Source organism: Homo sapiens, chromosome 3, assembly GCF_000001405.40.
Source record: "Homo sapiens chromosome 3, GRCh38.p14 Primary Assembly".
NCBI lineage: Eukaryota > Metazoa > Chordata > Mammalia > Primates > Hominidae > Homo > Homo sapiens.
Window position 1 is genome coordinate 127,208,042 of NC_000003.12, and position 26,905 is coordinate 127,234,946.

At 49.0% G+C, this 26,905-nt stretch overlaps 1 pseudogene, besides 6 other annotated features; it reads right to left on the reverse strand.

The window, feature by feature from the left end:
• Positions 20-186: a silencer, noted in NCBI's record as "fragment chr3:126926904-126927070 (GRCh37/hg19 assembly coordinates)". NCBI's record gives its function as "represses an EF-1alpha promoter that drives an FKBP-Casp9 reporter gene in an ReSE screen in phorbol 12-myristate 13-acetate-treated (for megakaryocytic differentiation) K562 erythroleukemia cells {active_cell/tissue: K562(+PMA)}" and the evidence as "EXISTENCE:reporter gene assay evidence [ECO:0000049][PMID:32094911]".
• Positions 8,609-8,708: an enhancer, noted in NCBI's record as "active region_20451". NCBI's record gives its function as "activates an Ori minimal core promoter by ATAC-STARR-seq in GM12878 lymphoblastoid cells {active_cell/tissue: GM12878}" and the evidence as "EXISTENCE:reporter gene assay evidence [ECO:0000049][PMID:35858748]".
• Positions 12,390-12,569: an enhancer, noted in NCBI's record as "active region_20452". NCBI's record gives its function as "activates an Ori minimal core promoter by ATAC-STARR-seq in GM12878 lymphoblastoid cells {active_cell/tissue: GM12878}" and the evidence as "EXISTENCE:reporter gene assay evidence [ECO:0000049][PMID:35858748]".
• Positions 12,590-12,779: an enhancer, noted in NCBI's record as "active region_20453". NCBI's record gives its function as "activates an Ori minimal core promoter by ATAC-STARR-seq in GM12878 lymphoblastoid cells {active_cell/tissue: GM12878}" and the evidence as "EXISTENCE:reporter gene assay evidence [ECO:0000049][PMID:35858748]".
• Positions 13,148-15,498, reverse strand: PRR23E2P (PRR23 family member E2, pseudogene; annotated as a pseudogene).
• Positions 16,117-16,296: an enhancer, noted in NCBI's record as "active region_20454". NCBI's record gives its function as "activates an Ori minimal core promoter by ATAC-STARR-seq in GM12878 lymphoblastoid cells {active_cell/tissue: GM12878}" and the evidence as "EXISTENCE:reporter gene assay evidence [ECO:0000049][PMID:35858748]".
• Positions 19,257-19,366: a silencer, noted in NCBI's record as "silent region_14685". NCBI's record gives its function as "represses an Ori minimal core promoter by ATAC-STARR-seq in GM12878 lymphoblastoid cells {active_cell/tissue: GM12878}" and the evidence as "EXISTENCE:reporter gene assay evidence [ECO:0000049][PMID:35858748]".

Sequence of the window (26,905 nt, forward strand, 5' to 3'; positions counted from 1 at the left end):
AGAGACAGAGCCGGCCTTCCCCAACTTACCCTAACAATGATAGCGGTCATGAGAAGAACAGCAGCAGCTGACAAGGACTGATCCCCAGCTGCTGGCCACATGCTGAGGCCTGTGCCTATGAGCACCTTCACCAGCACAGCAGCTTGAGGAGGTTTGCTTGTCATCGCCACTTTACAGGCCAGGACTGAGTCAAAGAGGCCAGAGGCTTTAGGGTCACTCAGCCAAGGCATCTAAAATACCAAATCCCTGTCACCCCAGGGAAGCCACTTGCCCCCCAACTTGCTCCCGTGCAGCCCCCAGTGCTCCCCTGAACGCTTCTTGCACACCCACCCCTGTGGCTGCCTGGTTCCCAGCCCATCTTCCCTGCCACTGTGGAAGCTTCTGGAGGAGGTAATGGCCCAGTTGATCTTGTGCCCCTACACGAGGGGTGTGAGCAGGCAGGATGCAGACATGACAGCAGGCGAGGGTACGGGCTGCAGCGTTCCCTCTGACTGTGTGAATAGAGAAAGGGCTGGGGAAGCCCACCCTGCCGGCCCCATCGAAGTCACAGATGCCAACACCTTCAGTCGCTGCTGGCAGGCAGGAGTGAGGACTGGGGAGCCGCAAGCAGGCAGGCTGCCAGGATGGTCGTCAGGTGTCCAGCCTGAGCTGGATGGCAGGTGGAGAATCCAGGCTGCAGTGGGGCCCGGGGCTCACGCTCAGGAGCCAGGCCCGGGCTGGAGGTCAGGGAGCAGTGGGCAGAGTGACCACAACCCACAGCCCCTCCTGTGAGGCCCAGACTAGAATGGCCCTAGGATGCCTATGACCGAAGGTCTCTGTGACATTTCAGCAATGACATCATGCCTATGGGCTGTGTGGTGTAACACCCCAGAGGCGTGTGGCCTAGTTAAGTATTCAGACTCTGGCCTTGCAGCCATTGTTTCCTAAGAAAAGTCACACTGCAAAGTGGCTGCCACTGGTACCTCATCTGTCTGTGTCATCCACCCCAGAGGCTCGGCCAGTTTGCTTTATTTACAAGGGTTAGAAATCAGTTTTCAAAGGTGGAATTGGTGGCTTGTTAATCTGCATAACAGATGCTGAGAGTGGGCTATCCCTGGGAAATCACCACTGGAGGTCTGTTGATTGGCTAGAATATTGTGCCCTAAGCTGTCCTCTGTCCAGGCTTTGGTGGGGAGGATGTGGTGGTGGCTGTGATGTGCTGGAACATCTGCCTTTGCCAGAGCGAGCCTTTATGCAGGAGAAGGCCAGAGGGCCGATACCTTAACCAACTTCCCCATGGGCCTGTGAACTGCCTTTGGTGCGGCCCCACTGGAGAATATTTGTGTGCTACACTTCAGGATGCAAGGAGGAATCTGGTCTGCACCTTGCTCTCAAGATACCCCCTGATGAAGCTGAAACAGCACTCACCAGGCGGGCACTCACTACAAACCTTTTAGCAGCTAATGTCATCTGGACCCGACATGTGGCAGGATCACACTGCCTGGGGTGGGGGCAGAAGGCCTGTGAAACACAGAGGCCATAGGGTGCACCTGGCTGAGGGGGACACAGGGTGCGGGCATGTGCACGCTGCATGGAGACCCTCATGCTGGCCAGCGTGGGGGCACCCCGGGCTTTATCAAGAGCGGGAATTAACTGGAGACTTGACAAGCTGGTGTTCCCTGCTGGGGAACACCGGAGCTCAGCCTGTCCATCAGTTGGCCCCGGAGGCTGGAGTGCAGGCAGGACTGTGAGGCCCACCTGCTGCTAACCCGCCAGGGAGGGCCTCTTGAAGCTTGTCTGCCTGGACATGTGCAAAGTGGCTGATGGTGGCTGTGCCAAGTCCTCTGGGCCCTGAGGCACTGAGCAGCCCCACAGGAGCTGAGAGGTGCTGCACCCGACCCTCCCTCCAGCAGCGCCATGAGGAAGCATGTGGCTGTGCCTGCATGAGCGGCCAGCTGGACTTGGGGGCTGAGATGGACGGAAAGAGGATTACTCTCCTCGGGGGCTGCACCCCCAGTCCCAACCACTCTGGGACTGTTTGGGAATCCTGAGAGCTCCCATGGCAGACACAGATCTCACTTAGTCTCAGCCTTTGTGGATTAGAGTTGTCAAAAGCCTGCTGTGACCTGGGAGCAAGGGAGGCCAGAGCCCAGCATGAGGCCCCAGTCAAGCTACCTGGCAGCTCAACCACTGCAGTGGGAAGGAAGTCGTGTCCCCCAGGCTCCGTACAACTGTCAGCAGCACAGTCATTGTGGGTGCACCCCCCGAGCGGGCCATTCACCAGCCCTAGACTCCCCACGCCTTACCTCAAACCCTCTGCTTACAGCCCCAGGACCCTAGGCCAGACCCTGAGGAGGCCCGCAGGCTCTGGGCAGTGCAGTCCTGTGTCCATGCAGTGCCTCACCTCCCTCACCTGCAGAAAGAACAGCAGGGACACTGGAGGGGAATCCCAGTGGAGCTTGTGGGGAGAGGTGGGGACCCTGGGGGAGGCGCCTGGGCTAACTCCAGGCTCTGAGCTGCTGTGTGACTTGGACAAGTCACTCACCCTGCGGGGCTGTTATCCAGGCACTCTGATATCCTGGGGTTTCTGCTAGGGCTGGATGGGTCACAGCACACGCCTCATGGCCATAGAGCTTTTTGTGTGGCTGTTGTGCCCCGGGCTGACTTGAGCGATGGGGGACACTAAAGACACTAACCACCCACCAGACGGCGTGAGGGCTAAGATGCCATGCTTTCCCAAGTCTGACTGTCCCCTGAGGTTCCTTGGTGGCGGTCAGCAGCAGGAGGTGGGAAAATGAGATTGTGGCTCACTTTTCCAGGCACCCACAGTTGCAGGTGCTTTCCATGAGCTGCTAACCCTGTAAGCAGGTGCCGCTGAAATCAGCACCACCCTCCCCATTCCACAGAGGGGGAAACACCGGCAAGGAAAGGCCGATAGTAACCTCTATTTCAAAATTGCTCAGAGATTACGTTTCCATTGCTCTCACCATAATACGTAAGTATGTGAGGTGATGGCTAAGTTCATTAGCTTGATTTAATAATTCCACATTGTATACATATGTCAAAGCATCACATTGTACCCCATAAATATAGGCAATTATGATTTGTCCACTAAAAACAAACAAAAAAAACAAACACATGATCAGGTCGAGGCAGGACGAAGCTTTGGGGAGGAATGGTCAGAGGAGGACGACTGAGCCCCATGCATGCCTCCCACACTGCCAAGCCTGTCCCTTTGACATTCAATTCAGGTTTTGGTTTGAAATTTGGTGGATCTGGCCTGGAGGATGCTGTCTTCTCTGAGGCACCCACAACCCCAGGTTGAGTTGAGCCTGTGCGGCAGGGCAGCCCCCGAGGCTGGATGGTCCTGAATGAGCCTTCGATGTGTCGGATGAATCCGCCACCCCCAAGGGATGCAGTGGCAGCCTGACAGTGCCACACATAGGCTGCCATCTCTCCCATGGGTTTCTCCTCATGAACTCACTTCCTGCTAAGGATGTCTCAAGGGGACTTCTCAGCACCCAGGCAAAGCCCTGGGCACTCACCATCTCCCTCATGGCTCCAGGAGGGCCTCTCTGCTCATAGCACCAGGAAAACAGCAGAGCTTCTGCCCTCCCCAAATGCCAGCACCCCACTAAGGTGGGACAGAAGTGGCTCCAGGAGCAGCAGAGTGAGTTCCTCCCAGCCCTTGCACCCAGGCCAGGAGCACAGCCCAGGGAGAGGAGCTCGTGGCCATGGGGAAATGCTGTGCTGGGGAGGGGCAGGGGCGCCAAGCCGGGGACGGCACTCAGGGTGTGGGCAAACCTGAGGCTTCAGTTGGAGGAGGGTGAGAAATGGCACCAATGAGACCCTGGGCCAGCATGTTCCGAGGCAGAGAGCTCTAAGGGGAGCACTGACTCAGGTGCAGGACACAGGGACAGGCAGCTCAGGAGACCCAGAGCCTGGAGCAGGACCCCGTGGCACATCAGTCCCTGTAGCAGGGCTGGGCAATGTCCTGAAGCAGGAACAAGCAGTTCAAAGAAACCCCTTAAGAAAATGCTGGGAATGGAAATGTAATGGAGACAACGAAGGCCTTCATAGCAGGGAAAACAGAATTAATGAGCTGGAAGATGAGGTGGGGGAACTCGCTTGGAAGGCATGCAGAAAGGACAGTGATGGAGCAGGTACCAGGAAGATGAAGAGGCGCAGCAGAGAAAGCCTCAGCACCTGGATCCCGGAGTCTCACAGAAGAAAGGACAGAAATATTCAAAGAATCAATGACCAAGATTTCGCAGAAATAAAGAAGCTTCAAAAGATTGAGAAATACCAAGAAGAATAGAATAGGAACCCCCATCCCCCACCTCCAGACACACAATGAGATTTAATATCCTCAAGCAGAAGCTTCTGGAAGGCTCTGGAACATGGAGCCCCACCAGGACACACATCCAGGGTGATGGTAGGCCCCACCCCATGCCGCCATGGTGTGCTGAGTATGCCTGCATCTCTTTCTTCCTGTCCATCCACCTCTGGTTGTCAGAAGTGGACAAGATGAGAACACAGATGTGAAAATATGAAGTACCATTTTAGCTCACCAAATGCAAGAGTTTATTTGACACATTATGGTCAAGTAGGTCTCACCTAGTCCTGGAGATACTGACCAATGTTCTAAGTCAGCACTGTAAGTTCCCACTGAGGAACTGCCAAGGGGATCCCCTTGGCTCACCTCGACACCCCCATGTGTGCAACAGAATGCACAGCTCTTTCCTTCCCCCACATCCCAACACATGGCCGAACTTCACAGTCCGTACAAAAGATCCTCAGAACCCATCCAACATTCCTTTTAAGGAACTGCAGAATCTAGAGGATCCTAGGGCTCCCACCTGCCAGGCCTTGCACAGCCTAGGCTGTCCCAGCCCCCTACAGCATCCTCATCCTCCTGCAGTGCTGCAGGTCGCAGAGTCTGTCCTCAACAAAGTACCTCTTGGCAGATCTCATCTCCAAGGCTGCCTTCACCTTCTGGCTTGAGAATGAATGGCCAAAGCCTAATGGGCCTGACACTACTTTTTTGTACCAAATATTAAATAGCACTTTCATCCGTCTTAATTATTCTGAATAAAATTCACACATGCAGATACTTCCAGTTCCAGACAAACTTGGAGTAGAGCACTTCTCCCTATTCATCCTGCTAAGTACAGCCAGAAGCCTTGGGTGTTATTCATAAAACAAACATGAGAAGAGTCGGAACCGTGGAGGGGAGAAGGCAGGGGCTGGGAAGGACCTGGCTGTAAATTTCCCCAGTTTTCTTTTCCCTCCTATAACCTGGAATGAGTGCTGGGAAAGCCAGCAACCCAGAGGTGCCAGTAGGAATAGACAGAAGAGAACTCAAGCCTCCTATCTCTAGCCAAAGCCCCAGGAAAGAGGCAGCCCAGCAAATCAGAAAACATGAGGACAATTAAGTACCTTTCCCCAGCCAAACCCCATAGAAAAACCACAGCCTGACTCCATTAGCAAAGGTGGGTGGGGACGCAGCCTTGGCCTTGGCCATTGCCTGCTGTAAGGAGGCACCCCTCCCCCTTTCCTTCCCCCACCCTCCCCACCCCCACCGGGCTATGGGAGAAGCCTGCGTGGGGACCTGGGACTTGTACTCCTGCCTGGCTGCAACAAGGTCCCCATCCCTGCAGTGTCAGTGGAGGCTGCACAGGGAGGGGTAATGAGGTATCCTCCTCTTCCCAACAGTTGGTATCAGTGGAGGCCTAGTGGGGAGACTGGACTCCCACCACACCTCCCCACGAGGCCAAGGAAGGCCAAGTGGACAGCATGGACTTCCAGCCCCACTTGGCTGGAACTAGGTGATCCCCCTTTTCCTCCACTGGCCTGGTGTCAGAGGAAGCCAGCCAAAACAGTTAAAGAAGACCAAATACTCACAGCATAATGCCACAAATGTCAGGATACAAACAAAAATCACTCATTATGCCAAGAATTAGAAAAATCTCAATTTACATGACAAGGTACAGTCAACAGATGCCAACACTGAGATTATATGAATGTTGGAATTATCTGACCCTGTAGATCAACCACATGAAAGATGTTTCACTGAGCAATTAAGAACATTCTTGAGGCTGGGCACAGTGGCTCACACCTGTAATCATAGCACTTTGGGAGGCTGAGCAGGTGGATCAGCTTGAGCCAGGAGTTTGAGACCAGCCCAGGCAACATGGTGAAACCCCATCTGTATAAAAAATACAAAAATTAGCTGGGCATGGTGGCACATGCCTGGAGTCCCAGCTACTCGGGAAGCTGAGGTTGGAGGATCACTTGAGCCTGGGAAGTTGAGGCTGCAGTGAAGTGAGATTGTGCCGCTGCACTCCAGCCTGGGTGACAGAGTGAGACCCTGTGTCAGAAAGTAAAGAGCAGACTTGAAACAAATGAAAATAGAATTTCAGCAAAGAAATAGAAAATATAATGGAGAACTAAACAGAAATTTTAGAACTGAAAAATATAATAACTAAAAATTTAAAACTCAGTGGATGAGCTCAACAGCCAAATGGAGAAAACAAGAATTAATGAACTTAAAGACAGAACAATAGAAATTACCCAGTCTGAACAAGGGGAAAATTGAACAGAGCCTAGGGACCTGCGGGTCTGTAACAAAAGATCTAACATTTCAGTTATGGGAGTCCAAGGAGAGGAGAAAGGTGGGGGGTGGTTGAAAAAGAGATCAAAGAAATAATGGCCGGAAATTTCTCACATTTAACAAAAGACATAAACCTACAGATTGAAGCAGCAGAGCCAGCCAAACAGGATAAGCCCAAAGAAATCCACACCAAGACACATGACAGTCAAAGTTCTGAACACCAAAGATAAAGAAAAAATCTTGACAGCAATGAGAGAGAAATGACACCATACCGGTAAGAGAAAAACAATTTGGGTGGTGTGGAATTCTCATCAGCAACAATGGAGGCTGGAGGGAGACGGCACAATATCTTTCAAGTGCTGAAAGAAAAGAACTGTCAACTCAAATGAAGGAGAAATCAAGACATTCTCAGATAAAGGAAACGAACAGGATTTGTTGCCAGCAGATCCACCCTCAAAGAATAGCTAACGGAAAGGAATGGAATGGCTCAACAGAAAGGAAATGATGAAAGATGGAATCTTGGAACCTCAGGAAGGAAGCAGCTAAAATAGGGTAACTGCAATAAACTGCTACTCTTCTTGAGTTTCCTAAATTGTGTTTGACAGTTGAAGCGGAAAGTATAACATTGTCTGATGTGGTTCTCCAGGAGTGTAGAGGAAATATTTAAGACAATTGTATTTTAAACAGGGGAGGGTAAGATTTCTACATGTGCCTCAAACTGGTAAAATATTGACACCAGGAGACTGATAACTTATCTATATGGAATGTGAGATCTAGAGCAGCCCCTGAAACATCCATACAGGGAGAGTATGAAACATCCATACTCAAAAACACTGTAGATCAATCAAAATGGAATTCTAGAAAATGTTCAAGTATCCATAGGAAGGCAGGCAAAAGAAAACAGAAATGAAAGTCAGAGGGAACAAATAGAAGACAAAAAAAATAGATTTAAGTCCTAACATATGAATAATTACATTAAATATAAATGGTCTCACCTGCTATATGACCCCATTTATAGAACATTGGTGAAATGACAAAGTTATAGAGATGGAACACAGTTAGCAGTTGCCAGGAGTTAGGCATGGTGGTACAGGGAGAAAGGGGAGGTGTGACCAGAAAGGGGTTGTATGGGAGAAATCCTTGTAATGATAAGATGTGTCTTCTGGCAGCGATAATACAAAGCTACACATTTGATACAAGGGCATAGAAGTATACACATACACTGTACCAATTTCAGTTGCTGACTCAATATTGTACTCTAGCAAGGCAAGATGTCACCACTGGGGAAAATGAGTGAGAGGAACATGGGATCTCTTTGCACTATATTTGCAACTTCCTGTGAATCTATAATAATTTCCAATTTTAAAAAAGTCAGATTGTAACTTACATACGCATTTTTTAAAAAGGCCAATCCACTCTTGTCATACATAGGAGAAAAATGTGTATTTCCCCATGGAAATACGTGGGCATGACACCCTAGAAAACATGTCGTCAGCTGTCTCCCTTACTATTATGATTAAGTCTGGATGTGAGAAATAAGATCACAGCCATTTCCACACAAAATATACAGGAAAGGAAAGAACAGAGGTCACATTCAGGAGCATTTGGTGCACCTTAAAACCAGCAAACACACTTTGTGTTTATATGTAAAATGAGGTACCCGTCAGTCTTCAGTAACTACGAATTGTTCTCACCTCTGTGAGAATCAACAGGGCCTCTGAAAGACATGCAAGCTGAGGGCACTTCCCCGGGGAGGGACAGCTGACACACGTAAGTCATTTAGCGTCTGCAGTCCCTGCCCATTAAAAGGCAGCAGCACTCTTCTAACACCATGTCAATCAGAAAAGCCCCAGAAGGTTTTGGGACATCCCCAGGGAGGAGTAAGAACTCCCTGAAGCATCCCTACTGAAACAGAGGGACCCTGTGCCCTGCTGACCTCTTAGTGATGGCGGCTTTCTCTCTGTGTCCCACGGGTACTTCTTGGTCCTCACCACCACCTCCACACCACTGTCCCAAGGGTATAATCTGACTATGCCGCTGCTACTCCCTCTCGCCATGGTCGTCAATTCCTATGATCTTGCAGCTGGCCAGGCAGTGTTCTTCACCGCTTCTCCTGCCCTGCTTCGAATTGCAATTTCCATATCCACACGGATAATTTTCCAGGAACTTTCACCATCTCACCGCCAAACTATCTCAACCACCCACTCCCGTGGCCAAACCTGCATCTTGTCATTACCAATAACTACATCCATTTTTAAATGAATTTAGCATTTCCAATCAGTTACCCCTACCTTCCCACCTCACTTTCTCTAGTATCTTCCACTCCAATGATCCTCTGAGTCATTTAAAACTCCACTTTACTGAACCCGCCTTCTCTCCACCATCCCGGGCCCTGGGAGGGCTTCCTCACCCTCCTGACGCACCGTGTTCCATCACACTGTTTAATCATCCTCATGCCTCATGTCTTTCTTTCTCCTTCTGGCCCACTTGGCAATATCTAGCCCCAGCCAAACCCAACCCTCCATCTACTCTGTACTTGCATCCATGAAGGTAAACACAGCTAGACAAAGACCCACCACCATAATGATGGGTCTCATCCTAAACTCGTGACTGTGAACCTTAAGCAGTTAAACCTCCTGTGTTTACTGGGTCCATTTCCCCTGCTGCTCATCTATGCAATGACTTCACCTCCTCTACGGACCAGCAGACTTCATGCCTGCCACATTCCCTTCCTGTGCTTTGTCAGCACTTCTTCTTTCCACGGAGCCTCTACGTGGGCATGAAAACATGCTGTTGTGTGCCCCATCTTCACCGCCCCTCGGCCGCTCCTGTCCCTCCAGCATCCACTCCGTGTTTCTCCTGCCCTTTACAAAGAACCCTTATGAAAAAATTTCTGTGATCTCATCTCTGCTTCTTCTGCTCCCGTTCTGCTAATTATTATTACTATTTTTTCATGTGACTTATTTTTTAGAAGTTTGATTTTAAGCTACCTTTAGATTTACAGAAGAATTGTAAAAATTGTGCAGAGAATTTGTTTTCCCTCACTCAGCTTACTCCAGTGTTAACATCTAATATGACTCATGCTTTTTTGAACTCAAGTTCTCATCATCCACCAAAAATATTCTCATTAAAGTCACGAATGACCTCTGCCATCTCCAACCTGAAGCCAGCCCTGGTCTGAATCACTCTGCTGGCAGCAGTTGGCAGAGCTAGGAATGTCGCTTTTGCAATTCGTTCACTCTCCTGTTTCCTGTCCCACTCACCATGCTTGTTTCTCCCTATCTTCTCAACTTTCAAATGTTGGAGAATTCCAAGCCTCAGTCTTTGTCCCTCTTCCTCCCTGCCCTGCACATACTCCCTAGGAAATCTCATCTACTTCTGACACCTGAAAACCATCTGTGCTGACAACTCTCAGATGTGCATGCCGACCCAGCCCAGCCCTCCATACTCCAGACTCGCATCCAGCTGCCTACACAACAACCCTGTTTTTCTGGAGAAGGCATCACAGACTCAACGTGCCACAAACAGAGCTCCAGGTCCTTCTGCTTCCCCCTGAGCCATTCTTATCTCCCTAAGTAGAGCTCCGTGCTTCAAGGTGCTCAGACCAAATGCTCTTGAGTCATTTCACTCCTCTCTCTGGCAAGCCCTACACCTAACACAGCAGTATGTTTCATTTCTACCGTCAGAGTATATCCAGAATTGAGCCACACTGTACCTACCTCCCTCACAGCCACCACCGGGATGAGCCATCCTCACCTTGCCTAGACTCTCAGCCTTCTGACTGGTCTCCATTTCCATGCTGCCTCCTCCACCTTCAGTCTGGTCTCACGGCATCAGTCTGAGGTGGATCTCCTCACTCCTCTGTGCAAACCCTCAGACAACTCCCGCGACTGACATTGTTTCCACCCCTCCCTGCCTGCGTTCTAACCACACTGGTCTCCCTGCTGTTCCTGGAAAAAGGCAAAGGTACTCCTCCCTCTCCTCCGCTCCACCCCTTCCTCCTGGCTTCTGCTCAAGTCACTTTTTTTGGTGAGGATTTCCCCGAGCCCACCCACCATCACTCTGCATCCTCCTTACTCTTTGTTTCACAGGACTTACCGCCAGCCGCTATTTATTTGTTTCCCACCTCTTCTCAGATAGATGGAAGGCTTCGTTGGTAAGGACTTACTTTTCTGGACTACGCTATCTCCAGCACCTGTGACAATGCCTGGCACACCTCGGATGCTCTATGCGCATTTATTGAATGAATTATTTCATGTATGATAATTATCTCATAAGACCCGACAGAATAAACTGAGAACTTACAGGGTTGCAATTGAACATTTTTTTAATTAAAAAGGAAAACATATGCATGTCTAGAAATAAATGCTTTAAAGGAAAACAAACACCATGAAGATCATAAAAGAATGAATATAACATACTCATGAATAGAGCAAGCTAACAAGGTGGATGTCAGTTTGTTCTAACTTAATCTATACATTTTTATCCTAATCAATCTAGTTGGATTCCTTTGAAGGAATTAGACAAACTCACTTCAAAATTTATACAGAAGAAAAGAACTATAAATCACTGTCAAGTCTGAAAAAGTAAAGCGAAAAGGGGTTAGAGTGGCTGTGAGGAGTTGGCCTAGTAGATACCAACATGCATTGAAATGTAACAAACAGAAGTAGAGAGTGAATGAAGGGACAGACCGGGGCACAGCCTGGAGAGCTCAGGAACAGACCCCTGGGCACACAAATGCCTGAAACATACACAGATGAGCCCTCGAATCAATAGGGAAGATGCTTTGTTTAATAGCACTGGACCTGGCAGTGACCTGGAAAAAGATAAGTTCAGGTCCTTATGTAACATTATCTATAAGGATGGACTCCCAGGCAACATCCAGGGAAAACTGTAAGGATATTTAAAAATAGAGGGGATCTGTGCAACCTGGAAGAGACCAAGGACTTTCATGGTTGTGTTTGGGGCTTCTAAAGCAAAGCAAGAAGGAAGAAAGGAAGGAAAATAAGGGGAAAAAAAGGAGGACTTACTACAAAGTCATATATATATATATATATATATATATATATATATATATATATAATTTTTTTTTTTTTGAGATGGAGTCTCTCTCTGTCACCCAGGCTGGAGTGCAGTGGCGCAATCTCAGCTCACTGCAAGCTCCACCTCCCAGGTTCACGCCATTCTCCTGCCTCAGCCTCCCGAGTAGCTGGGACTACAGGTGCCCGCCACCGCGCCTGGCTAATTTTTTTTTTTTAGTAGAGACGGGGTTTCACCGTGGTCTCGATCTCTTGACCTCACGATCCATCTGCCTCGGCCTCCCAAAGTGCTGGGATTACAGGCGTGAGCCACCGCACCCGGCCATATATATTTTTAAATAAATATATTAACAGTAACCTGTATTATATATCATATATAATAATATAGAATTAAAATACAAAGATAAAACTTATATATATACATATAATTTTTTAAAATTGAGAAATAGCAGCAACCAGTGGTCCTCAAACTTGAGCGTGCATCAGAATCATCTGGTGGACTTAAAACAGGTTGTCGGCCCAACATCTGGAATTTGTGAATCAGAATCTAGGGTGGGGCTGGAGAATGTGCATTTCACACAAGTTCCCAGGCGATGCTGATGCTGGGTTTGGTGGCACTTGGAGAACGCTCGGCAAAGGTCATATTTGTTGACAGACACCGAGGAGACATTTGCATGGCCTAAGAATGAAAATGGATATCCAGAATTTACAATCCTGAAAATGACTGAAAGATATTCTATATAATTTACAGACAGAGGAGGCCAAAGGGCTGACAGGAAGTCAAACCAGAACAATAGCTTGCTTGCCACTTTGTGCCTATCCACATGGAGACAGTCAAAGTGGGCTTCCAGCAAGAGGCCACGCTGTGTGGGGGCAGCTCAGGCACTGCCGAGGTAGGAAGTGGAAGAAGCTGTTCTGGAGAGGGACCTGCTGGCTGTCCCAAATAAAATCAAGCATCATCTTCCCATGACTCAGAAAAATGTTCACACAAGCCCTAAAAGGTGGTGTGGGGATTTTCCCCGGGGCTCTCCGTGGAGTATTTATAGCAGGGAATCGAAGGCAGCCAACATCAGCAGGCAGGGGGGATGATGTCCTTGAGAGCAGTTGGAACCACAAACAGAATGTACATACAGCACAGTGCATCGATCTGAAATATCGTGCCTGCCGATAAAGAGCAAAGCAACAGTTTTTATAGCACGTCATTTATGTAATTTAAAAACATATGCATGCAAAGCTCATTTCACAAGGTTGCATGCATGCATATTTGGGGACTTAATAGCAAATCTACTAGAGTGCTGGCCCAGAACAAGGGCTGGGGAGGACAAAAGGTGCTGGTATGAGGGTTAGAGGGCAAAACGAAAAAAAAAGGTAGAAAAATACCAAATAGAGCAGCCCTGCATCTGCTCTGTGTTAAGGATAGTGAACTTACATCTGAGACGCTTCTAAAAACAAAGTCCACAGCTGGCTGGGCTCCACCAGACATGTTTCTGATTGGTGGGTGGGTCTGGAGGGCTGCTTAGCACTCAAAGAGGCAGTGGCAGGCCCTGCAGGGTGACAGGGAGGAGAAGCGGGGGCAGCCAGGGTCCAGCTGAGAATCCTCAGTGGGGAAGGGGCAGGGGGCAGAGCTCTGAGCTGCAGCGGGCAAAGGCGCCCAGATACTGCACCTGGAGGTCCATTCTGAGGGAGGGGCTTTGCACTTCTTCAAGTAGGGAGCTCCTCTGGATGCTCCTCCACCAACTGCAGCCCTGGCTGGAGTCTGGCATCCCACCTGGGGACAGTGGCTGGAGGTAGCCTTGCCCACAATGGGAGGAGCTGAAAAGTAGATGAGTGGGAATCTTGCAGTGGGGGTGTTGGGGGTAGTTGGTGGGGGAGGAAATAGGCTGGAAGCCAAGACAGCCAGGTACTGACTTCCCATGAAGGGGTCAAAGCTGGAGGCCCCTTCGATACAGCCACACCGAAGGCACCAAAGCAGCTGGAGTGGGATACCCCATCCAGAGATACCCGCCATAGAGCACCCATGGGTAAGCCCACGGGACTAGGTAAGCTTGTCAGGGGAACCCATGCAGGAGTGGACGACACAGCTGTCTGCAAGCCCGGCCAGGTGGCCGGGTCAGTTAGAAATTTGTTTCCCACACAGGCACAGAGGCCCCCGGCAGAGCCCACATCCACCCTGGAGGCCGAGGCAGCTGTGAGTATGTGGATTTCCTCCCAGGGCTGGGAAGCATGGGAGAGGTTTTTCTGCATGGCTAGTTCCCAGGAGGTGGCTGTCCCCATTGTTGAAGGGATCTTCTCTCCCCAAGCCTGGTGACACATGTTGGGCTTGCTCTCCTGGCTCCCCGACTGTGGAGCAGACAGTGGTTAGAAGAGAAAAAAAAGAGGTTCAGGAAGGGGTGAGGCCACCCCAGAGTGTCCAGGAGGGTCAAGACACCACCCTCTGTAGCTCATGGTGATAGAGAGGGCTGGGGGGCATGCAGTCTTTTTTTGAAGCAATGTCTTGGGTCAAATTAAGAGTCATTCCTTCCCATCCCCATGAGTCCCCAGTCCCCACCCCAATGTGGTGCACAAGCACCCCAGAGGACTGATGGCAAAGCTGTGTGGGGGGCTGAGGTGGTGTTAGGAAGAAAAGGAAGCAAAATCCCAAAACAGCTGTATCTCCTTGCTGGAGCCACAAACAAAGAAAACTGGTGGCAAGGGGCTCCTCTTGGAGAGTGAGAAGGAACCCCCATGGAGGGAGACTCGACCTACCTCCCGGGCAGGGTGGCCCCCACGAGACCTGCCTCAGAGCATCAGTGAGTGGGCAGGTCTGTTTCGGAAGTGCACTCTGGTTGCAGTGGGGTGAGGGTAGAGACCAGCAAAGTCAGGGGCTGGACAGGAGTCAGGGGAGAGGTGATGGTACTTAGAACCCAGGGAAGCAGTGGGAGGGAGGGGAGCAGGTAGGCTTTGGGAACATTTAGAGCATCCTTCCTGACCAGATGTTGGAAGTGAAGAGAAGAAACAGCTCAGAACAGTGCCAGGTGCGACGGACACATGAATGTACCAGGGCACTAGCAAGGCATGGGTTTGGGGGAAGACAGTCTGGGTGAAACCGGCCACATCTGAGTCTGTGTCCCTCAACACCTCCTGAGGCAGCTGATCGCATTAGAGGCCCGGATCCTTCCCCTCGATGTAAGCTGCCCCCATGTCACGTGACCCACTCAGGCTCTGGGTGAAGGGGGTGTTAGTAATGAGTGCCTCTGCGACTGCCATGAGAACATGCCAGGTCAGCTTGCCAGAGTAGGAGAAACATATGCACAGAGCTGAGGCACCCCAGGCCTCCAGGGGCAGCCCACAGCACTCGACCTGCCGATGTGAGCGAGCCCAGGACGGGTGGGCTCAGTCTCCTAAGCCTCGAAGTGCTGGGCAACTTCTCCGGGTGATTCTAATCTTGCTACTGCTGAGGCGCACTAGCCCAAAATGGCCTGCAGCTGCCTGCTGACACCTGCCTGACCCCAGCTGAGAGCCAGACCACACTTACGACTGGTCCTGGTCAGAAGCCGCAGGTATGTGGGCTGATAGGCGTTTACTGTATGCTCTGAGGGTGTTTTGTTGTTGTTATGCAGTGTGATTTTGCAGTAGATGACTGATACACTTTCCAAAATGCCTGCTTCCTAAGAGTAGACAGAGTCTAAGGCTAAAGGAAGAAAAAGTCTGAAGGAATAAAGAAATGGGGTGCTCCGGCCTGTCCCCTTCCTTCCTTCCAGGACACGTTCTGAGGGGTAGGCCAGAAGGACAGGCTTGAGGGGAGAGAGGAGCTGGGCTCATTTCTGCCCCCTTGCTGACCAGAGCAGTGACTGTGAAGACAGATGTGGGAGGGGTGCAGACGGCCATCCCCTCACCCCAGGGGAAGAAGCAGTCAGCTGCCCTCCCAAGTAGCTGAGGGGGCCCTGAGGTGCAGTGACTGGCATGAGGTTAGCGTGTGGACAGGATCCAGGTGTAAATGCAGGTATTCGGATGCTTCCCTGGATGCCAGAAGCCACAGAGACTGGAGAGGGAGAGCAGGGGGTGCAGCCCCACCATAGCAGATGAACCCACATAATGCTTTCCATTGGTGAGCCTCACACCCACTTTCACACAGATGCAACCTTCTGTTCGAGGTGCAAACCATCACTGCACAGAGGATGGGGAACCTCTGAATACAATCAGATTTCCTCAGAAAAATTTCCCCAACAAACAAAATGGGGGCAGTTAGAAATTATGTTCAGTTATGAGGAAAAAAGACAAAAAGCTATTGGTATTGAATAGTAAGACGATGAGCAACTCCACTGAGAAATGACCAAATGATGGCAATAAGAAAGCCACATTAGCTGGGTGGGGAGATGAGACATCAATAAACACGAGAAAAGCTGTTCAAACTTATTCAAATTAAAAGACTGGGCTGAACTTCTAGGTAAAGATGGCAGGCGACAGGTATGTACTCATGATGGCCCCTCCCCAGCCCCACCATAACAGTAAGGGAAATTTAACAAGCCATTAGCCCACAAGAACAGCTATAATGTGAGAGAAAACAGGAAGGAGATTTGGGTGGCAAGAAAGCAGATGGCCGTGCAGGAAGTGACTGAGCAGAAGGAGGACGCTGAGGAACGGAAGCCTCAGCCAGCAGCAGGGATGTGGAGAAGCCACTCGCTCTCCACTGCAGAGCCACTCAGGAGATGTAGAATTCCTGGATCAGGCAGTGGGATTGGAGATGACGTGAAGTGGGATGAAGATGAGACTAAAAGCGGAAGACCAATTAGACTTTCAAGGACTATCTGACAAGTCGCCAGCTGGGAGACACACCTCCCCCAAACATGGCCACGTGCCCTCCCCTTCCTTCTTCCAGCAGAAGAGACTCAAATTTTCTCTGGACTGAAAACTGAGGCAGGGGTGGGAGAAGATCTTTGCGTTCTGCTGAGACCCCAGCTCTCTTCCTCTCAGCTCCCAGCATGCCAGCCCAATTCCCTTCAGGTGGGAAAATAAAAGAGCCTTCTTAGGAAAATTTGAACCAAGATTTAAAAGTAATCCCAGCACTTTGGGAGGCCAAGGCGGGCAGGATCGCTTGAGCCCAGGAGTTTGAGACCAGATTGGGTAACATGGTGACACCCCGTCTCTACAAAAAATACAAAAATTATCTGGGCATGGTGGTGCACACCTGTAGTCTCAGCTACTAGGGAGGCTGAAGCAGGAGAATTGCTTGAGCCCAGGAGGGCGAGGCTGCAGTGAGTTATGATCACACCACTGCACTCCAGCCTGGGTGACAGAGTAAGACACTGTCTCAGTTAATCAGTCAATGGAAAGATCTAAAGGTAGTAACTTTGGCATTTCCCCAAACGCAAGACCCAGCCAAATCTTGCAGCCACACTCACAGGTTCAGGACTCTCAACCAGCCCTTCAGTGCCTCACTTATGCACATGAGCCAAAAACTGTGCATTTCTGTACTTCTGCAGAAAGCCTGCAGCATGCAAGTTAGAGACCAGCACAAAACTGGACCAAATATAGAGCCATTATTAGATCAGATAGCTCTGCTATCTCAAAGACAGGGAACAAAATAAAACTAAAAAATAAAACTTGGAGGACAAATAACATATAGAGAGGAAAAACTCTCAAAGCTAATTAATATCCTCAGAAAGGTAAGACTATATCCTTAAAATAAAAACAGAATACCATGGGGAAAAGGCACTTTGAACAATAGAATAGCTGAAATGAAACACACAAGGATTGGAAAATGAAGCTGAGGAAATACCCCCAGAAAGTAGAACAAAATTACAAAAGTGAAAAGTGGAAGAAAAATAAGTAAAGGGTCACTAGATGTCTAACATCTGAAAAACAGGGGTTACAGAAATAAAACTGAAAATGGAGCGAGTTAATCAAAGACATGATTCAAGAAAAGTTCCCAGACCTGAAGGATGTTTCTAGAGTGAATGGAGCCCACCCAGGGTGTAGTAGATATATGAAAATAGACCCACATAATGAATACTATTGTGAAATATGAGAATAGTAGGTACAAAGAAAATCTTACATTCCTCAAATAAAACAAATCAAAGGTATCAGAATTGGAATGATTTTGAACTTCGACATCTGTCCTAGAAGCTGAAAGAAAATGGAATAGTGCCTTCAAAATTCTAAAGGAAAGTTATTTTCCAACTTAGAATTCTGAACCCAGGAAAATTATAAATTAAGGGTGAGGCTAGAATCAATATATTTTAAAATAGGCAGGATCACAAGTTTATCTCTTATGTACCCTTCCTTTCTGGGAAAACTACTATAGGATATACAGCATCAAAATGAGGGGGTAAACCCAGAAAAAGGAAGACAAGGGACTCAATGCAGGAGGGAGGTAAGGGGTCCCGGTGACAGCTGTGAGCCAGGCTGGTCTGGGATGGAGCAGGTCAGAAGGTTCCTAGTGAGAGTGCTTCAGGAGGATGGAATTGGTGGAATCCCTGGTGTGTCCAAGCATATTGAGGTGGTGTAAAGGAGCTAAACTCTAAAATGAGCTAAATTCTATAATGCCTAGGACTAAAAGCTGTGTGCTAGCATGTTATCTGCAGATATGGAAGTAGATACCCAAATAATTAGCTGAAAAGAGTTGGGAGGGTGGTGGGAGGCAGCTCCTTTTCATATCAGTTCTGTGATACTACTTGATTCTACATTGCATGTATGAAATTGACACCAATGAGAACCAAACAAAAAGAAAGGACTCTCAGTTTTCACTAAGGTTGGCCAAGATGGAAAAGGTTGATAGTACTGAATGGGAAAACTGGCTGAACTCTTCCTGGTGGGAGCAAAAATTCACGTGATCTCTTCAGAGGTCAATTTGGCAGTAAATGATGAAAACTTAAAAAGGGCAACTCACCCTCAACCCTGCAAGTTGTTTCTCTCCCTCAGTTGTGTATGGTGGATCTGGAACAGGAAGCTGTGGGTGGAAGGGAACCCCCGGAAGGCACTCCTAGGTGAAGGAGGGGCAAATACTTGGGAGCTGGTGTCAGCAGGCAGGATCGGGATGGGTGGAGGACCAGACTGCAAACCAGCTGACCCTTGTCTTCCAGTCTCCTTCCCTGGTAGGGGAGTCTCACTGTGGAAGCCTGAATTATGCTCTCCTGAAACATTGCTCTGGGGGAGACAAGGGGTAGGTGGGGTGGCAGCTGGGAAGGGTGGGGAAGAGGGGTGTGTGTGTGTGTGTGTGTGTGTGTGTGTGTGTGTGTGTGTAACGAGGACTGGGTTTGTTTGTAAGATAGAGAGCAAACAGGAGGGGAGGGAGCATGCGGGGGCTGGGACAGGAAGGTCTGATTAGGGAACCCCAGATGCTGAAGGAGGCAGATGAACAAGGTCAGCTTTGGTCCGGGAGGCAGGATGTCCCATCCAAGAAAAACGGAAGAAGACTAACCCCACTGACAAAAGCTGCTCTCTCTCCTGAGATCTCGAACACACACACCCGACTCTCCCAGCAGGCCCTCTAGTGCTGAAGTGCTCCTGAGGGCAGCCTGCAGTCTTCAGTGTCCCGGCAGCGCCGCGGTCCAAGGTCAGCCAGGCGCTGTGCCCCAGCCCTGATGAACCAGCCGCCTCCTCCTCCCCCTCCCCCTCCCCCTCCCCCTCCTCCTCCTCCTCCTCCTCCTCCTCGCAGCTCCAGGGCAGGAAGCAGTTCTGAGGCCCCACACTTGGTGCCCTTACGTGAGGGGGTGGAGCCAAACACTGTCATGTGAGGGGGTGGGGCAAGGCCACTGGTGTGGCTCAGGAAGACGAGGGGATCAGGTTCCCTGTCAAAGGTCCACCTCTGTCTTACACGAGAAGCTGATGGGGTCAATCCAGCCGTCTGTTTAATCCCAGCAACAAAGGTACTCACCACACTGTGTTGCCCTCTGGCCAGGAGAGGGGCAGGGCGTGTAATTGACCTACTTGTCTGAAGTCAGGGGACAATGACTCCAGGAGGAGGGTCTGAAGGGAGTGGGAGTCAGCCCTGCCAGGTGGAGGGGGCAGGGACCTCAAGGGCAGACCGCAGCCCAGCTACCAAGGCTCCCGAGGAGGGAGCGGACCCCTCCCAGGAGCCTGCAGGCCACTGTGGCTGCAGCTGGGGCCAGGAGGATACTGGGCTGAGTCAGGTGGTCCCATCCTCCAGCGACCTGGGGGCCCAAGTAACCGCAGCCATGATGAAGGTTTAGTTAAAAGGGCAGGTTTGAGTTTCAGAGCAGCAGAGCTTTGCTGCAGCCTGAGGGCCAGGATGTGGGGAGGGCAGACAGCAGGCTGTGAAGGGTTTCTTGGGTTAGCCATGAGCCCTGGTCAGGAGAGGACCCTGGTAGAGAATGCAGCATGACAGTAGGCACCTGGGTGAAGGGTGTGGAGGTTCTCACTGCTGTGGTGCTGCACGCACCTGACACTTACCAAAGGATGGACAGGCTCTCCTAGGTCCATCTCCACCTAGCTACCTTCAGCTTTTTGATTGTGCTATTCCAGTCCTCATAGCTTTCCCTATTTTTTGTGTACTTGATTTGGAGTTTTCCAAAAGTGTGTGTTAAAAAGTCTCCCATGAAGAGTGTGGATTTGCCATTTTCTTCTATATTTTTGTTGCTTTTTTACTAACACATTTTGAAGCCAATTATTTATATAGCAATTACCAGATGCCAGACACTGTCCTCAGTACTTTCCCAGTATGAACTCATTTAATCAATATGAAATATCCTAACAATAGGAGGCTAGTTTAGAAAATTACACAGTGAGGACTTTGAGAAAAATGTAATAAAAGTTTATTGATTAACAAGGAAAATCATCCATGATATATTATGAAATGAAAAACGCAAGTTACCATGCAGTTTATACAAGCTCATTGCTTTTTTTGTGATGGAAAGAAATGTTATCTATGCATAAGAAAAAGGTCTGGAAGTGTGCATACCAAAATAATGACATAGATTATCTTTGGGAGATAGAATCATGTGCTATCATATTTTTTTGTTTATACTTATATGCATTTTCTGGTTTTGATAATGAGGATCTATTAGTTGATAATTTAAAAAAATCATTTGGTAAGGACCCTAATTTTCAAAACAAGAAGTTGAGAAATTGCAGATAAATGGACTGAAAATTCTTTGATTAATAATAAGGTGCCCAATATAAAAATGCAAAGATCTGGACACAGAGCTGTGTGAGGCAGAATTAGAATTAGCCATATCTGGGTAAGGACGGATGAGAAATCCAAACCACTAAAGTAGAGATGTTCCGTTAGCCCCAGGAGTTCTCAGACTTTACATTATTTAGCTCAGAGGGCTTGTTACAGCACAGAGGGCTGGGCCCAGCCCCCAAGTATCTGATTCTCTAGGTCTGTGGTGAGGCTGAGAGCTTGCATTTCTAGTAAGTTCCCTGGTGATGCCAAGGTTGCTTGTTTGAGAAGCAACCACACTTTGAGAGCCCCAGCCACAACTGGAAGTTAACGTGGCATTGGTTTATATGGTGTGGCTAGTACATACTCATTATTTGAATGTTGGAAAAAAACCATAAAACCATTTGGGCCCAGAGCTTTTTTAGATATGACTTAGCTTTGCTCATGTTTGTGGTCTTCTCAAAGGCCTTCACTTCTTGAATTGATTTTGGTTAATTTATTTACAATATTCCATTTCTCCAAGATTTGCAAATCTGTTAGCATTGAACTATACATAGTCCACTCATATAAATATTTATACTTTTTTCTGCTGCACTAGTCTGAGTTCACAGCTCTCCAGTTCCCTCCCCAGGACAGCTGTGACCCACAGCCCTTCCAGGTAAAGTGGCCTTGGAGGACAGTGACCATGTCACCCCTCAGTCTACTGTACTGAGGGCATGGTTTGCATGTTCTGTGACCCAGTGAGAGTCCTATTCAGGCTCTGAGCAGTGTGGACATTTGCCCTGGGAAGTCCCTCTCAGGAAGACTCGGGGTTTATGTGTAGGATGCTGCCCTGGCCATTTTCATAAGCACAAGTTCCTTTCACAGCTTTCCCTGCTCCCACTTACCAATCTCCAGCTCACTCACCAAATTCCCTCAACAGGGAATAGAGGATCCCTATATGCCAGGCCGTTGGTGCTGGGGACACCATGGTGAACCAGATAGGCATGGTCAGTGCCTAGAGGGACCTGAGTCTAGTGAGGGAAGAACAGACATTAGTATAACACACAAAGAATATTTAATTGCATGTTATGCTGAGGGCTATGGAGGAGAAAGAGGGTGCTCAAAGGAAGCGTTACAGGGAAGCCTATTGGTCTGTGCAGCATAGAAGGCTTTCTCAAAGAGGGGGCCTGTGACTTTAGCCTTGAAGATTGGGTAGGAGTTAACCAGGTTGAGACGAAGGGAACTGGAAAGTACATTCTAGGCAGAGATAGCAGGTTTTACAGAGCCAGGAGGAGCACCATATGACTCGGAGACTGGAAGGACCCCGGGGGCTGGAGCAGAGAGGACAAGTCCGTGTATTACAGGCTACAGAGCTGGGCAGAGCCAGGTTATACTGGGCCTTAGAAGTATGGGCCCACTGGGCATGATGACTTATGCCTGTAATCCCAGCTCTTTGGAAGGATGAGGTGGGCGGATCCCCTGAGGTCAGGAGTTCGAGATCAGCCTGTCTAACATGGCACAAACCCATCTCTACTAAAAATACAAAAATTAGCCAGGGGTGTTGGTGCATGCTTGTAATCCCAGCTGCTCGGGAGGCTGACACATGAGAATCACTTGAACCAGGGAGGCAGAGGTTGCAGTGAGCCAAGATCATGCCACTGCACTCCAGCCTGGGTGACAGAGACTCCATCTCAAAAAAAAAAAAAGGAAGTATGGGCCCTGTCCTACAATTTTGGGGAAGCTATTGAAGGATATAAGTAGGTAAGTAGCAATTAGCTTTAAATTTAAAAATCTTTCTCTAAAATTTTTCTTATAGGAAGATTGTGGTCCATAATAAATATGGAAGAAGTGAAAAAATTTTTGCAAATCACCATTTTCCAAATTCTGATGAAGTGATTGATTCAGACAATGATCATCAATGATTGAAACTGTTAGCTAAAAGGCAAACAGAGATTTATGATGGAGGAATCGGGCTGTCATCACTGAGCCCACCATCCCCATCTTAGTAGGATGGCTGGACAATGCACACCTCCTGGTAGGTGTGATATGAAGCACACAATAACACCAATGGAAGACTCTTGCCAAGAAAGTCAAACTTGAATTTAATCCAAACTCTACAGCAGCAGTGTCCAATAGAACTCCTATGATTCTGAAATGTTTGTATCCATATTGTGTAGTAAGGCAGCCCAAGCCATGTGTGACTACTGAGCACTTTAATGGAGGCTAGTACAACTGGATTTTATTAAAATTAAAACTGAATTTTACATTTCATTTTATTTTAATTAATTTAAATAGCTCTTTTTGGCTAGTGGCTACAGTATTGGACAGTGTGGTCCTAGAGCTAACTTTCATTTGCAGGAAATCCAGGGGATAGAAGAACAAGCTAGAGGACACCATAAGGAAGCAAGGAGATGAGGCAGCATGTGGGACACTGAGCAGGTTTCTGCACTATGTCATTGCATTAAAAACAAAGTGAGGAGAGACTTTTCTGGACAAGAGACATAACAACTACATATTATGTGTGGGCCTTGTTCAGAACTAGATTCAAATGAATTATGTAAGACAGTTTGGAGACAATATGGGAAACTTAGCTATGGATGCTCAGATTCTATCAAGGAATTATTGTGCATTTTTTTAGGAGGGAGAACTTACTGTGGTTATGCAGATTCCAGTTAGAAGGCTTCAAATCCTAGCAGGAGGTAGATCAGAGTAGGATCAGCGAGTTCAAGGGAAATGGATTGTTCCATGATGTGTTTTGTGAGGAGGAGTGGCCAGGCTTTTTGAGTGAGTGTAAGGGGAAAACAGATAAGATGTCAAGGATGGCCCCCAACTTCTGGCTTGCACAGATCATGAGTGGGAGGTCAGGAAACTTGGAGCAGAACAGGTGTGAGGGAACCACCTGGACACTGGCTTTGGTTGTATTTGAAGTGCCTGTGAAATCTTGAGAGCTATCAAGTGGCCCATTGCCTACAGGGTCTGGGCAGCCGGCTGAGCCCCAGCATCACCAGTGGGGGCATTCGGTGGATATGGAGGCTGGTCCTGTGGGCAGAGACCCCAGATCTATCCCACATCTGTCCCAGCTTTCCTCTCAACACTAGGGCAACTTTGTTTTCAGCAGAAAGCCCTTAATATTGACACTTTTAATGAGACAGAGTTGCTTTTTAACTGTCTCCTCTTGGATGACCATTCTATCAACCTCGTGGGTTGCCCCTCCCTGCTTCTCTCCCCTTGGCCAGGAGAGGTGTAAGTTGCCCTGGGATGCCTGCAGCTTCTCCTGAGGGTGATTGCATCAGCTGGCTCTGGGCACTGCAGCCTGGCACCTGCAGATCTGGGGCGGGCCTTCAGTCTCTTGGCTTTGGGGAGCTGGTATCTACTGCTCGTGTCCCTAGTCACTGCTGTGGCTGTGGTGAAGAGGGCATCTCAGCCTGATGCTGGCTGCTTCTGGCCCACTTATCTACGCAGTCTTTCCTCACCTGCTCTGGACTCAGGGGGTTCTGGCTGTTTTGCCAAAGGTGTGTGGGACTCTGTGATCCACCCTCAGGCCCAACACCCAGAGTTTCAGATGCCTCTCTGAGCAGGGCATGGGTTCTGGCACCAGATGGAACACAGGGTTTTTCTAAGAGGCATGCAGGCTTCCAGGTGCTTTCTCAACCTGCCCAGTGTTTGCAACATCTTGCTGCTGCCAGGACTGGTGAAGGTGGAAGAACTGAGGGGACACTGGTCCCCCTTCTGGGACCCAGTCATCCTCCACACCATCCTCCTGCTGACCTCCCTGTGCGGCAGAAACTCCCTCCTCAATCTCATCCTGCATTTCCCCAGTGATGCAGTTTATGAGGAAAGATCTCTCTGTTCAGTACTGTACACTTAACTCACTACTGTCCTTTTTTTTTTTTTTTGTCTTTTTAGTTTTAACATAATTATAGATTCACAGGAAGTCGGAAAGATGGTAGAGAGGCTGTGTGCCCTTCCCAGCTTCCCCTAGTGGTTGCATCCTACAAAGCAATGGCACGATGCCTGAACCAGGATGCTGGTGCTGGCATGATGAGGGATGGTCTGGAGTTAAGGGTGGTTGTCATCGTAAGTGAGTGCAGGGGCTGTCTGTGAAGAGGGAGCAGTTCTACATCTTGTTTAGAGTGGAGGTTCCATGAATCACCCCATGATGAGAGGCATGGAACTCAGCTCACTCCAGAGACCAGTTATTTGTTCCCCATCTCTATAGTTTCTGTCTCGCTGCATATTAAAAAACAGTTTTGGACATACTTAGGAAGCAGTTTTCTCTCTCAAATGCTGGATCTCCTGAGGCTCTCAGGCCTGCAATCATGCTCATCCTGTATGTATATAGGTGCCGGCCCTGCCCTCCCTACAGGGGCAAGGGAAGCCTGGGCATTCGAGGATGAGGATGTGGGACCCCAGCCTGCACAATGGAAATCCTTTCTGCAGTGTTTCGGAGCACTTGCCCAGACCTGGAATCTGAGCCCTGGACTTGCATCTCCTGACTGGAACCTGGCTTCCTTTACTCCTGTGAGGGTGCAGGAGTGCCTCACTCCCTCATAAGCCCTTCCCAGGCTTGTGCTGGGCTGTAGCCTGAGCCCCCTGAAGGAAGACTTTCTCGCCCAGGCCCCTCAGGGCTCCGCAAAGTGGACCCTGTTTCAGGGCAGGGCATGATAAATGTAGATTTCAAAGTTGAAGATAGCTCTTCCACCTGTTTTCACAAAATCTCATTTCTATAAATCTCATTTGAATTTCTGTCACCTGCAGAAGTGGACACCATTAGCCCACCTACATTTCAGGACCATGGAAAGCACCAAAACGCAGCTGCCAGCTTGGCTCTAGTGACAGGGCACAGACAGCCGTTGCTGGGCAGGGAGGGGCCTGTGGCAGTGATGGAAACATTCTACCCCTCAGTCATGGTGCTGGCTATGTGGCTGAGTTTATTTGTCAAAACTCAAACTTTACACCTAAAATAGATGAATTTCACTGTATATAAATTACATCACAAGCTGATGAAAAAAAAAAATAGCCAGTTTGGGAGGGACTAAGGAGGGCATCCCAGGTGTGGCCATGAGGAGAGGGAGGAGAGCAGCCTGGCAGGCAGGCAGGCAGAGTGTGGGCAGGGCAGGGTTTGGGGAAACAGGCCTAGTACGTTTCAGTGACTTCACTTTCTTCTCAGGGGGGCACCTACAGAGCTGCTTGGCCCCAGGTAAACCCTGGCATTCTCCGTCTACCAACCAATCTTCTCTCAAACTCCAGCAGCAGCCACACCTCCTAGAAGGCCTGCATGTGTGCACTTGTGTTTGCGTGTTCAGTGTTGTGTGTGAGGGGAGGGCCGGGGCTTGGGGTTTAGGCTGAGGTTATGGAGCAGCAAGCAGGGCTCTGAGCTGGAGGAGAGAGGTCCATAGGCCAGTAGTGGAAAATGCAGACATTCTAATGGAAGGGAAGGAACAGAGCTTCCTCCAGGGATGAAATGAACTGGAGACATCCCTCAATAAAGCCCAATAAAGGTGTAGGTGAGGTCAGCAAGCAAATGTAAAGTAATAGGGAGAGGGTGACAGGCAAGCCACAGAGTGCAGTGCACAGACTGACAAGGGACTGCGATCCAGAATGTATTCCAAGGCCTTCATATCAATAATAACACAAAAAAGACAGCCGAGCGCTGTGGCTCACGCCTGTAATCCCAGCACTTTGGGAGGCTGAGGCAGGTGGATCATGAGGTCAGGAGTTCAAGACCAGCCTGGCCAAGATGGTGAAACCCCATCTCTACTAAAAATACAAACAATTAGCTGGGTGTGGTGGCACACGCCTATAATCCCTGCTACTCAGGAGGCTGAGGCAGAGAATTGCTTAAACCTGTGGGGGTGGAGGTTGCAGTGAGCTGAGATCGCGTCACTGCATTCCAGCCTGGGTGACAGAGTGAGACTCCGTCTCAAAAAAAAAAAAAAAAAAAAAAAAAAAAAGACAAAGAGCCCAGGGGAAAAGCACATTTGAATAGACACCTCACAAGGAGGGTATGCAAATACCAATAAACTTATGAAAAGGTGCCCTGCCTCATTGTAACTGCAGAAGTGCACATTGAAACCACAGTGAAATGCTGCTGCATGGCTGAAATGAAAAGTCTGATAATACCAAGAGTTGACACTGGTGTAGAACAACAAGAAGGCCCCTACACAGTAGGAGTGCAGATAGGCACAA